Consider the following 14,316-nt stretch of genomic DNA (forward strand, 5'->3'; position numbering starts at 1 on the left):
ATGAAACAGATGGCCTAGCAGATGGTAGATTGCTCCTTTTCTTCTTGGCACCTCCTGTTGAGAGAATGTGATATGCACGATGGTTAGGTATGTTTGACTTCTTGGGTCTTAACTAGCAGATATTTCTGGAACTGATGCTGCTTCCTTATTCTGAGCTCAACAAATTCTTAAGTACAATCTGTAGCATTTTCTTTTCTGTCACTCTTCTCATATTATGTCCAGTTATATCAACTTTAATTAAAATATTTTACATTAAAAAATGACCTAAAATATGTCAGATGTTTTAGGATAACTAACTCAAAGTAGTTATTGGAAGCCCCCAATTTCCACCAATAAGATGGATAACAATCATAACCTTTGGGCAGGTCAAAATTACATTAAATACATCTTCCAAGGAACAGAATCGATTAAGTAACAACAATATGCAGACCACCGGGATAGGTGCTATGGGAGATGTGAGGATAGTAAGACGTGACTGTGGTCTTTAAGGATTTTACAGTATAGGAAAGGCTTAAGTGAGTGCACAAAAACTGATAATGTAGGGCAGATTGTGGTAATTATCATAAAGGTAGCTCAAAGAAAGAGTTCGGATGTTCAGAGAAAGGATAACCCCCTACTTCTGGCTGGATTGGGAGGGGCTGAGGCATGACAGAATTAGGCTGAAAGTGCTTGTTACTTTGCATGATGATGAGGATTCTTACAACTAGAAATAATAAGGACTTTCCAGATATTATGTGTTTAAGTGTAGAGGTCTGCTTGGAACATGCCTCCTGATTTCCCCCTAAATCCTCACATCTCCAGTGACACATGGCAGTTATCAACTTTTATCCAATTTACAGGGAAGTTATCAAGTTTGGTGGGTTGTTTTTCTGCTTGTTTGTTTGCTTGTTTTGAGACAGGGCTTCACTCTTTCACCCAGGCTGGAGTGCAGTGGCATGATCATGGCTCACTGAGGCCTTGACCTCCCAAGCTCAAGCGATCCTCCCACCTCAGCCTCCCTAGTAGCTAGGACTACAGGCACATGCCACCATGCCTGGCTAATTTTTTTATTATTTGTTGCAGAGACGTGGTTTCACGATGTTGGCCAGGCTGGTCCTGAACTCCTGGGCTGAAGCAGTATGCCTGCCTTGACCTCCCAAAGTGCTGGGATTACAGGCATGAGGTACCATGCCTGGCCAGCAGTTATCAACTTTGACTCGAACATATGTTATATGAAGGAAATCGATTGTGATGGCCTTGCAAATCAAGGCAAGCTATCTGAGCTTAGATCAGATTGCAATAGGGAATTACTGAATAATTTTGTGTAAGAAGATGGCATAATCCATGCCATATTTTAGCATGATTAGTTTCTTAGGAGTTGGGTTAGTTTCCCCGAGACAGAAACAGAAGACAGTGAGACCAATTAGGAGGCCCTTGACATAGTCGAGAGAAGAGATAATGAGGATCTGAAATAGATCTGGCACTTGTTAGAGGAAGAAGGCAATGAATAGGAGAGATGTCAAGGAGGCCTTAATGATTATTTTCCCAGTAAGAGGTGAAAAGTCGATACCTTTTGTAATAACTGCAAACTGAGAGTTGATCAAGGCTGAAAGAGATGTTAAGTAACAAATCACTAAATTCTTAGGAGCTCTAGGGTTGACTGACTTTCTTCTTCCTAACTTCATAAATTGCTAGAAAAATTTCAAATATATATAGATACAAATATATATGAATATATATATACACCCAGTTTTAGTGCCTGTTACACACTTAATTATTAGTTAAGCACAACCTAAAAGGTGAAAATCTGAAGTAAAATTCAAGATCAAATTTCTTCAAAATATTTCATGTTATATAATATAGGGTACCCTCTGATTCTTCACTGTGATTATATATGAGCATGCAATGTCATAAAAAGCAAGTGTCATTAAATACTAATAGATTTTCCTTTAACCAATAATCTATTCAATAGAATTAATACAAATATATTGAAAATAAACTGAATTTCTTATAGTATGTGTCACCCAAGGGCCTTTATAAAAGCAAATCTCTTAGAACTAAATCTCTAAGTAAAAGAAAATATTTAAATAAATAGTGCCCACAGAATGATATGAATGGAATTCAACATGGGAAAGAATCCTTTTTTTGAGTTCTGACACAGCGCCATGGAACGAACCTGGGTCAAGTTCCCCTAGAAAAAATAGAAAGGTGAGTAGTCGTGGCTGTGACTTAGAGTATGTGAAAGGATTAGATTAGGCCCATTTGCTACTAAATCATGCTGCAGTCCATACCCCAAACTTTAGACACTCACAGAGAAGGGGCCGTTTTTGTAACCCTAAATGTCAACCACCAGAAATGTTACATCATATCCTAGGTTCTAACCAAATATAATTATTCACTCTCCTTGGGACATATGACCTGAATTCCCCATAAATCCTTCTCACATCTCCAGTGACGTAAGTAATCTTTCCTACCTCTAAGTCTTCATGGGACTATATCTGAACTACACTTTTAGATTTACCATTTTCTACCTTTTTAATATTATTTTAGATATGGGTCTCCCCTATAAAACTGTAAGTTCCCTGAGGGCAGAGTCAAAGTCTTGTTTTCACAGCCTCGTGGTTCTAGCACCAGGCTCTTTCCACAGAAATTACACATGAAGGGCTAATGAAGAAATGTACAAGCCCTCACTTTGCAAATCACACTTCATTAATCACTAAAAAGAAAATGAGAAAAAAATCACCAGGAGAATCCTAAAAACTTATCGACCTTGTTATGTGAAATTGGATGAAATCTTCTGGGTCTCAGTGTCAATTACCAGTCACCCAGACCTATCTCAGGCTGGATTCGTTCTCCTGAAGTACTCCTGAAGGACTGTGGTTTTTTCCATGTTATTCCTCCCTTCCTCTTCCTCATTTTTTTCCTAAGTCCTCATTATAATTTTTTAAACCAATAATACAACATAATCCAAGTATTTTTTTTGTTTGTTTTTACAAATTGAACTTTTCTTTTTTGATGATTTTGGGGTTTTTTTCTTTATTTATTAGCTTGTCTTTCCTTGCCTTTATCACAATAATATTTCACTTTACAAAGATCACTGACCTCATGGGAAGCAATCACTCTATTTTGAACTATAAGTGGAAAATAATATTACTAAATTGCATTATGGAGCTTCCTCTCAAATTACTGTTTCTTGGGAACTGAACATACACTGAGACTCTGTCTCTTCACCGGAACTGTTTTGATCCCAGCAAAGTGCTATAGGCCTCCATCCCACCCATTTTAAATTTGTTTGTGTAATACTTTCTACTTAGTGTCTTTGGCCCAGTATAATTGCTCTGACATTGGCAGACTGTGTGGGTGATCAATGGGCTGCTACCATTTAGTTTCCTATAGACTTTGATCCAAAGGACTTTAATTTGCTTTCCAGTTCCTCTCTGACTGTACATTTGTCCACACTGGGGATTAATAACAAAGGGAAGCATCCTAAACCCTCTTTATACGATGAATTTACTGTGCATATAACATGTTAAAACAATAAACTGAAAATAAGAAATTCAAAAAAAAATTAAGTCTGGCTAAGGTCAAGGGGTCACCCAATCCAGCATCTGTTTTTCCTCAAAGCATATTTCACCACTAAGAAAATATTCAAGATATAGGAAATATCTTTCGAAGCTTGAATTACTTGTCTTTTCCATTTTTCAACTCAACTAGTAGCTGAAACACTATCCAGTTCCATTGGACGATTAGCTGATGGTTCAAATTATCTTTAGTATTCATACATGACCTTGTAATTTCTATTAGATCTTTCTCTACATCACTTAAATGTTTCAATTATGTATTAATTCCTTCTCAAAACTTTCCCATGAAAGGCTTCAAGTTAGGCATGGTTCTCATTTAAACTTGAAGAAATTAAGAAACAAAGCACTAGATAACTCAAAAATCTTTCTACCATAGGTAAGAAACAACAGTGCTGAAACTTGAGACAACGGCTGTTCTCGGTTGCTGATCTACCTTTTTTTTTTTTCACTTGATACTTTAAGATCGTTTCACCTTTTTTTGTGTCTTAGATTTTTTTACTACGCCAAACAGTACAGTAGTACATAACATGTATAGTTATCAAGAATATTGCCTCTGGAACTAGAACACCTAGATTCAAATCCTGGCCCCACTATTTAATGGCTTTAAGAGTTTAGGCAACTTATTAATTTCTCCACAGTTTATCCTCGGTGAACCATATTCCCTGGGGGTTTTCATACAGCAACACAAACAATTTCAACTGGAATGTTAGTCTTATGTATTATTGAATAGGTATTATTGACCACCCCAAAGCTGGAATTTCCCACTTTCTTCAGAGGCTGCAAGCTTCCTGCCATGTAGTTCGGAAGCCTCTCCTTCCAAACACACAAACCTTTATCCATGTCCTTCCTTTTCCTCTTATTTTTGCTCACCCACACCTAGAAATATGTATTCATTTCTTACACAGAATGGTTTCCCTTGAGGCATCACCTTCCACCTAGCAAAGCAGTTTATCACGTATTTTTTTAAGCAAGACCATACTCTTCATAGTAGGAACTCTGATGTCAGTCAGTAAAATATTATTTTTTCTGTTACATTTATATAATGAGTTTCACCAAAAAAATTGGATTCAGTTATATACTTAATTTAATCTGTTTCACAAATATTTATCAAGTTCTTGGTAGAAGTTTTCAGGAAATTCAGACAACTCAATCATGGGTACTGCCCTGGAGAAATCTGGCTCTTTTTAGCCAGTACAAACAAATGGTCAAAAGGGTAAATGGTGTATAAGAAAGATAAAATGTTATCAGAGTTTAGACTTACATGAACTCCATATAAATAGGAATAGGAAAATGATGTAAAGAATTGCTAATTTCATGTTCAATTTTGAAATGGCTGATTGTAAATGAAACCACATAAACTATTTAGCAATACAAGGAGTACTAAAGGTCATGTCTCTTTTAAGGACTTTACAAATTGTTTTAACTTGAACTTCATACTCAGAGTAATAGCAGATAGCTTATAAAGAACTAAAGTTTTGCCATATATAAATTTCCTGCAATTCCTAGGGCATGTAAAGCATGTAAATAAGGCAAAATAATGATGGCTGTTTAAGCAAAATGTACATACTAAGAAAAAAGGCAAATATACATGCAAAGAAGTTGTTATCGTGTAAAAAATTATTAAATACAAAAATGTATAAGTTTTATATTTGTTAGGTAATTTGGTTTTTCATTATTTTGGCAAAAAGATGATCAAAATGAAATGACTCTGCTAAATTAAGAGGACACCAAGAGGGGAAAAACAACTCTCTTGGTAATCAGCTTTAAGTAGAGAACGATGGCCTGTGATTACACGGCAGAAAAAAAATGGAGCCATGTGAAGCACTACTAAAGCAAATTAGGTCATTAATCCTCTGACTATTGAAATAAACAACATATCTAAGTGAGCTATCTATCAAAAAAAGTGATATCACCAATGGTTCTATGCAGATGTCTAAAGGAAGACTTTTAGATATTGAATTTATTTTTTCCCCATGTTATCAGCTGTTGGCTTTTAGGATGTCCTTTCAGATGCAGAATGCCTCTGAAGGGTTTTAGAGGTAAATTTTTCATTAGGAATAGGCATCTTTTGTGCTATAACAATTCTATCACATGGTTAATTAGAGTAAATACTTTCAACATTCAATACCTGTTTATTAAATGCCCACTCTATAAAGCCCTGTGCTAGGGGTTGGTTGGACTTTAGAGAACCAGATGGTCCTGGCCCTCCTAGAGCTCACTGTTTAGCAAAGAGGGGCCTACTTTCTTACTAAGCAGCTTTGTTTCTTTTTTGAATGACTCTAAATACTATATTAGAATTCTTCTCTTAAACTAAAATCTGCCTCCTTAAAACTTTTATCCACATTATGCCTTCTGGAATCATGCAAAGTAAATTCAATCTGTCCTAAACCTGATCTTACAGGCAAAGAAGCTTTTGAAAGATTACTTCATTAAAGTCACTAAAAAACAAAGCTAATAGGACAAAGCTAAGTACAGGATCCTGCAGCCTACCATTAGTAAATTCATTCATAGTTGACATCATTTTCCACATCCTGAAAAAATTTTATGCAAAAACACATTCATTGTTAAAAAAATGGAAATACATAATAGTAAAAGAAAGGTTAAGGAAGATGGTACATGCACACACAAAAGAGTAACAGTGAGGTGATGGATATGTTCATTTGTTTGACTGTAGTAATCATTTATGTCAAAATATTATGTTGTATACCTTAAATATATAGATATGTAAATATAATAAAAGAAAGATGGTACATTAATTTTATGTAGTATTATGCAGTTATGTCAGAGGCATGTGAACCAGAGCAACTCCATCTTGAATAGGAGCTGGGTAAAATGAGTCTGAAACCTACTGGGCTGCATTCCCAGACAGTTAATGCATTCTAAGTTACAGGATGAGACAGGAGGTCAGCACAAGATACAGGTCATGAACACCTTGCTAATAAAACAATTTGCAGTAAACAAGCCAGCTAAAACCCACCAAAACCAAGAAAGTGATGAGAGTGACCTCTGGTCGTCCTCACTGCTACACTCCCACCAGTGCCATGACAGTTTGCAAATGCCATGGCAATGTCAGGAAGTTACCCTATATGGTCTAAAAAGGGAGGCATGAATACTCCACCCCTTGTTTAGCATATGATCAAAAAATACCCACAAAAATGGGCAACAAGCAGCCCTCAGGGCTGCCCTGTCTATGGAATAACCATTCTTTTATTCCCCTACTTTCTTAATAAACTTGCTTTTGCTTTGCACTGTGGACTCACCCTAAATTCTTTCTTGCATAAGATCCAAGAACCCTCTCTTGGGGTCTGTCTGGATCAGGACCCCTTTCCTATAACAGTTATTTCTATTTAACCAATGTTTACACAAGAGTATGTAAGATATAGGCTTTCACAGAGTAGAATATAAATTGGGGAAAAAAAACTCTGCAGAAACAGACTAGTTCCACTACAAAACCAGTAAAGTAATTTTTAGAGTCATAAAACTAAAAGGACAAAGAATATGCAAAATAAGACAGCAGACAAGGGATGATAAAAATAAAATTTTGAATTTGAAAAATAATCAATTTAACAGAACAACAACAAAAAAATGTGCCCGGGAAAGCCAAAATGTTAGCTGATTTAAAATGTATAATCCCAGAGAGGCTCAGAACCTGGATGTAATAATAAAGGTAGGGGTACCGGTGAGACTGAAAACAGAAGGACTAGTTGGAATCTATCCATATGTATGTATACATACACACATATTTACTTTCATTGTCTTTTATTTTAAAAGATGAAAGGATAAACCAAAACATAAAAATGCCTTCAAAATTCTGAAGGAGAAATAGTCCCTACCTAGACTTCTATTCCTGAAAACTATTAATAAAAGTAAAGGTAAAATGAGGACATTTTCAGATATATAAAGTCTCAAAATTTTACTTCAGTGAATTATTTCTCAAAAAGCTACATAAGGATGTGTCGCACCAAAAGAAGAGAATAAATCTAGAAATGGGAAAACGTGAAATCCAGAAAAAAAGGGGATCCAATACTGGAAAAAAGTAAAGATAATCCCTAGGATACCTATGAAGAAAAGTAAATCCCAAGAAGCCAGCTGAGAAGCAGGTTCAGAGAGAAACTTATCCATTCTGGAGACTGAGGTCAGATGGCTCCAAAGATGTCGTCCAGATACATCACCAAGGAAAAGATGAAACTGAGGGATTGGCTTACATGAATGAATGACAAGCACTTTACTTAATAAAAAGTACATTAAAAACTAAGCAAATAAAAAAAAACTAGGCGAGTAAAAATGTTTTACAAGAAAGGAAATATGATCAGAGTACACTGAAGAGCTGGGCTGGAAATTATATTTATATAATAATCATAATAATATAGACATTAAATATTTAACAAAAATTATTACATAATATCAAAGAAAACAAAGTGAGTGTGGGTATGTTTTCAAGTGGTTGGGGGGATGGGTGGACAAGAGCAAATTCTCATCTTCCATTATAGCAAATCAATAGATCTGAAAAGTCAGGTAATCATAGTAAAAATAAATCTGTTATTATTAATACAAAAGTAAATTTCAAAAGAAACAGCTTAAACAATAAGAGTTACTTCTGGGATCCAAAGGGATAGGGTAAGTGACTGCTAATTTTCATTACAAACGTTGCAGAACTATTTGCCAAAATCTTTTTGAAATGATATTTGTATTTTTTTATCTAATCAATATTACATTTAAAAATGAACTCTAAATACATTACATAGAAGACCCAAAACATAAGGGCAAGAAATACACACAAATGTCAGTAAAAATTATATTTAGATTATTTGTTTTGTTATACTTTTCTGGGTGATTCAAATTGTCTTTAATGAACATATGCAACTAATATGATAAAAATTTAAATAAAAAGAAACTAAGTTTGGCATAACTCGTTCTTTGAACACTTTATGTTTCCTAATATATAAGACATCTTTTTTCTATGGACACAAAGCTACTCTTCAATATATCTTTTCCAGAATTCTTCTAGGAATATTTGTTAAATTCATAATTCTATTCCTAGAAAATATATTTCCCTACCCTCCACGTTTAATACACACACACACCACCTTTTGATAATTGAAACAAGTATTATCTATCTCTGTATACTGTTCATCCTTGTTCTGCACGGTCCTTCAAAGATCACAAATAACTGGCCTGTGACCATAACCACAAGCCCTGTCAGTACCCTGGGATTAAGTTTAATTAAGACTCAGCATCTGAATTTAAAACAGCCCAGCACTCTCTTACCTATCTTTTCGCAGTAATCTAGAGTTGACTGTGTTTTCCATGCTGAGGACCCACCTTTTGATTAGGAGAGGTAACAATACTCATGTTAAATATTTAAATTCACACAAGATTTGAATTTTCCCTTCAAATTTAATTTAGATTATTAGATGAAGTCTGTTTATGAAGAAAGTTTCATTTTTAAAAAGTTTATCTAAGACCTTAAAATATCAAATATAGCTTTATACTGTCTTTCACATTCACCCCCTTATCTCTCCTCCTGCCACTGCCTGAGCTCAGATTCTCATCGTGCTCCTCTGGATCACTAAAATGGCCTTTAAACTGGTCTCCTGGGTGCCAGGATTTCCCTTTCCAGACAATTATCTGGAATTGAAACCCTACTCCAAATAGCTTTGTGTTTTCCTGCCGTTAGAGTCTTCCTTATGATGCTCAAATGGCTCTGATGCTTGAAAACCTCTTCCTCACTCCCAAAACTGTTAGTCAAAGTACTGGATCATTTTTCATGGCCCAACTCCAATTCCAATTCTATGAACCATATCCAACTATTACCACTTAACATTATTCTCACTCTATAGCTATCGTCCCTCTGAAATATTTTGCGTACCTCTATTATTGTTCTTATATCAAACTGTTTCAAATTAAATATATTTTTGCGTTTGACTAGTATAGTGCTTTACTATCAGTAGGAGTATAATTGTTGAATTAAATTTTAGCTCAACTGGCACCATGTTGGATCAAGTCAAAACTGCCTGATAATAACAAAAGTAAGACCTATTAGAAGACTGCTGAACTTGTAGCTATTGTAACTCTTATCTTTCCATAATATTTGTTTTATTTTTAAATTTATCTTATAAGCTTTTGGCAATTGTTTAAATTTCAAAATTACACTTATTATTTGGTTTAGAGAAAATGTTGGTTCATGTGGGCACATTTATTTTCTTTGGCTCATTTTTGCTTCATATTGAAAACCTATTTTTTCTTATATCAAGATGAAAGAAAATTAATCTGTCCACTGAGGTGAATAATGCCTTAGATAAAGGACAAGTCAATGCCTGTAGAGCTATAAAATTCCATTGTTGCACTCCATTTCTTCATGGAACATTTGAGGGAAATAAACAGAAATTAGCTCAAAAGGGCTCCACCAATTTATCACATATTTTAGCATTTAATAAAAACTTGTAACTAGGAGAGTAAGCCATACTTTGAATTTCAGGTTATTTTTGCAAAACTGACCAGAACTCTATCACCAAAATACTAGTGAACAAAAAGCAAGGATTAGAATCAAGATTGCCAGTAATAATCCCAATAGTCATTTTAAAGCTGGGCTTCCTTAACGCTCCATGGAAAGGCCCTCTTTTCACTTCATGTATTGCTACGAAAATACAATATTTAAATGTGACAGACTTAATCCACTGAAAATTTTGCACATAAACTTATTAACAAGTAAAACTTTAATAAGAGGTTTCCTGGCTGGGGGCAGTGTCTCACACCTGTAATCCTAGCACTTTCAGAGGCTGAGGCAGGAGGACTGCTTGAGCCCAGGAGTTTGAGACGAGCCTAAGCAACATAGTGAGATAATTGTCTCTACAAAAAAAATTTAAAAATCATCAGAACATGTGGCACACACCTGCAGTCCCAGCTACATGGGAGGCTGGGGCAGGAGCCTGGGTGGTTGATGCTGCAGTGAGCCATGATTGTGCCACTGCACTCCAGCCTGAGCAAAAGGACAAGACCCTGCCTCAAAAAAAAAAAAAGTTTCCTGTAAAAGCTTAATTAAACTTAAAATGTAATTAAATTGTATTCTTTTATATCCTCAAATAACAAACTATAATATGTATAGCATTATTCAAATGATTGGAATAATGTATGTTCAGAGCATCCTCAACTTTATTAATACATTATGTATTAATCAGAGTTCTCCAGAGAAACAGAACCAAGAACCAAGAAGACACACATATTACATATAGGATTGTTATATATAACCTCTTGGTGTAGGAGAGATGACAGATAGATGATAGATAGATAGATAGATAGATAGATAGATAGATAGATAGATAGGATAGATAGATAGATAGATAGATAGATAGATAGATAGATAGATAGATGATAGATAGAAGATAAATTTATTTTTAAAGAACTGGCTCACATAATTATGGGGGATGGAAGTCTAAAATCCAAAGGGCAGTCTGGCCAGCTGGAGAAAAACAAGAATTGATGTTGTAGTCTTGAATCTGAAATCTGTAGGGCAGGCCAGTAGGCAGCAAACTTAAGCAAGACTCCTTCAGGCAGCAAACTCAAGAAGAATTCCTTCTTCTCCAGGAAATGTCATTTTTTTATCTTAAGACCTTCAACTGATTGGATGAGCCCCATTCACATTACGGAGCATAACCTGCTTTACTTAAGGTCAACTGATTATAAATGTTAATGACATCTACAAAATACCTTCACATCAACATCTAGACTAATGTTTGACCAAAAAACTGTGCACATAGCCTAGCCAAGTTCTTAAATAAAATTAACTATCACATGTTCAGTCAGCAAATATTTATTGAGCACCTACCAGAATCTTGGTGCTATGCCAAGGTGCTAAGGGGGTCAGATAAAGGGCATCAAATTGAGCCACAGTAGTTGTGAATACCATTAGAATAAAGGTAATGATTGGACAAAAATTAGAAGAATGAGTAAGAGTTAACTGAGCTAGGCAGAACAAAGAAGTGGGGAAAAGGCAAATGAGAAAGTGATCTTTATGAATAAAAGCCTCAGGTGCATTTGGTTTGGAGCAAAGAATGCAGGTGCTAACAATGCAGAAAATTGATCTGAATAAATGTTCAGACACCAGAACACAAAGGATTTGATGTGTCAAGCCATAGCATCTGAACCATATCCTGAAGGCTACAGGAACTCATCTGAAACAAGTCAAGTTATACAATCAAATTGGCATGTTAGAAAAATAACCTTGTCTATAGGACTAAGATTGCAGAATTGAGAAGGTGAGAATGGGGAATGACCATTTTGGAGAGTGATAGAAGATACATGAAAAAATTGTGAAGACCTATAGCAGTGGGGTAAAAAGGAGCAGACAGAAAAGGAGATTATAGGAAGCAGAATCAGTAGGATGTAGTGACAAATTGATGTGGATTGAGGGAGACAGAGTCCTTTGTAGTGACTTCAGGTTTGGGGTGTAGATAAATGAGAGCATGTTAGTCCCATATTATAAACCTTAGTTAAAAAGGAAAAGCATGATGAGAAAGAAGGAATAAGGTGAAAAGGGGGAGAAAAGTGAAGAATACCTCAGCAGCTATGATGACATGTTTCTACATCACTAACAGATGGTGAAACAATTTCATAGATTTCTCCCTAATCTTCTGAAGTTCCTTATCCATGGCCAAACCAAGCTTTGTGCAGAACAAAACGGGTTTCCTAATAACAAAAGAAAAATTTTAGGGTAATTTTGGTCCTTAAAAAATGTATTTGCAAAAGAAATTACTGTGCTAAAGTTATCTTTGCCACCTCAAAAAAATGTACAAAACACTCCATAATTATAAATAAATTCGGTGATAAGTAAGGCAACAGTTAGCTTCCTGCCCAGAACTGGAAAACAACATTTTCCTCTATAATTAATAAAAACAACACATAATAAAACATATCAGAAACATGCATAATTGTTTCAAACTCAAAAGTTTTATTATCAGATGCAAGAGGCCAAATATTACATTTCAATCAATGTCATCAGAACAAACTTAAAATAGAAAACAATTTACAGGATTCAGACAAGACGGCTGACTAGATGCAGCCAGGGGGAACAGCTCCCAATGAGGGACCAGGATGACTGGCACACTTCTAACAGATCTTCAGAGGGAGGGCACTGAGAGTAGATGGAGGGAAGACACAGAAGCTGGGCTGAAGAAGGAGAAACATGAGGACTCGTTCCCAGTTCTAAAAGACTCCAGGGGAATGAATGAGTTGAACTGGCAAGGAGCAACCCGCTCTCATCAAGGGCCCCTGGAATCCTGGCAGGAGATCTCTCGACTACCATGGACACTTCAGTTGGCAGGGAGAACTCCTTAGAGAAGTGGTGAGGCAGCAAGCCAGCCAATGCGGAGCCCAAAGGTTTTAGTGTAGGAGCATCTGTAATAGAGCATGGCCAGGGACAGCCATCCCTCTACACTCAACTTGCTCCCATAGGAGACTCTGGCCTTGGGGAACTGTTGGACTTGATCTCTGTGGGGTGGTCTTGCCCATCAGAGGAGGCCAGTCTGACCATAGTACCCCTTGGTCTGCTGGCTTCTCCTGAGGCCCCAGCCTGGCTGTGCCTGCTTGCTGTGCAGCCCTGGGTGTCCTGGAGGCCTGCATCATAGCTCCTGTGCTGGTGGTACCTGACTAGCAGCAAGCTCCACCAGGGTGCCCCTGCAGCAACACAGTAGCCTGACCGCTCCTTCCCCTCACTGCAGCTTCCCCTCAGGCCCACAGCCACCCTCCATGTGGTTTTGCCTGTACGTGTATGTGTGGGTAGATTTTGCCTTCCCTGCCCTGCCAGCATGTGTGTGCTGCCCTGCCTCTGCTGCCAACAAGAGTACACTCTGCCCCCACGGTCCCGCCATTGCAGTCAGAGCCTTGGTGGGCACAAAGCCTGCCAGCCCTTCCCACACCAGTGACCTGCCCCTGCCCGACCCTGCCACCAGAATGAAACTAGGCAAAGAGAACAGCAGACTCTCCCCTGCCCTGAATGGCCACAGAGGACACACACAGACCTGGGCCTGCCAGCACCCTGCCCCCATGCTAACACCACCACCAGAATGACCACCTGCACAGTCACCAAGGGGGGCCCCTTGTGTCCCCAGCCTCACTGCCTCCTCCACTGCTATGAATTCCCACATGGAGGCAGGCACTCTGGAATCCAGTAGCATCCTGCCACAGCCAACAAATGTGCACCCCACTGCATTGCCGCTGATGCTGGCACATGCAAACAAGGATGGATCCCAATGCTATCATCCTATGAAAGGCTTTGGCTGACACCACCCATTGGAGTGTAATGAGTAGCAGCTCAAGAGCACTTTGAACTCCCCAGCACAGTGAGCTCCAAACCTAGAGGAGCTAGAGAACAAAATTGGGGCCCAATATAAGTCCCCCAGTTACAACATGCAGTCCAGGAGTTGGGAGCTGAGATTTGGCCCCCTAAAATCTTCCAGAAACAAAGCTAGGTGACAAAACCCACCTTATACCACAATCAAACCCTCAAGGTCATCAAATGGGATTAAAAAAAAAAACTCATCTAAAGGACAGAAACTTTAAAGATTGAAGGAACACCAACTCACAAAGATGAGACAGAACCAGTTCAAGAACTCTCACAACTCAAAAAGCCAGAGTGCCTTCTTTCCTCCAAATGACTGCACTACCTTTCCAGCAAGGCTTCTGAACCAGGTTGAGGTGGCTGAAATGACAAAAATAGTATTCAGCATATGAATAGGAAGGAAGATTATTAAGATACAGG

At 37.3% G+C, this 14,316-nt stretch overlaps 1 long non-coding RNA gene across 1 annotated transcript in view, besides 2 other annotated features; it reads right to left on the reverse strand.

Annotated features, from left to right (window-relative positions):
* Nucleotides 1–14,316, reverse strand: part of TTC14-DT (TTC14 divergent transcript) — a 121,249-nt gene that overhangs the window by 22,501 nt on the left and 84,432 nt on the right. The window lies entirely within an intron of this gene.
* Nucleotides 12,945–13,445: an enhancer, noted in NCBI's record as "H3K4me1 hESC enhancer chr3:180234098-180234598 (GRCh37/hg19 assembly coordinates)". NCBI's record gives its function as "activates a minimal SCP1, AML or CMV promoter by ChIP-STARR-seq in naive H9 embryonic stem cells {active_cell/tissue: H9 hESC(naive)}" and the evidence as "EXISTENCE:reporter gene assay evidence [ECO:0000049][PMID:30033119]".
* Nucleotides 13,446–13,946: an enhancer, noted in NCBI's record as "H3K4me1 hESC enhancer chr3:180234599-180235099 (GRCh37/hg19 assembly coordinates)". NCBI's record gives its function as "activates a minimal SCP1, AML or CMV promoter by ChIP-STARR-seq in naive H9 embryonic stem cells {active_cell/tissue: H9 hESC(naive)}" and the evidence as "EXISTENCE:reporter gene assay evidence [ECO:0000049][PMID:30033119]".

This window comes from Homo sapiens, chromosome 3 (genome assembly GCF_000001405.40).
Source record: "Homo sapiens chromosome 3, GRCh38.p14 Primary Assembly".
Taxonomy (NCBI): Eukaryota; Metazoa; Chordata; class Mammalia; order Primates; family Hominidae; genus Homo; species Homo sapiens.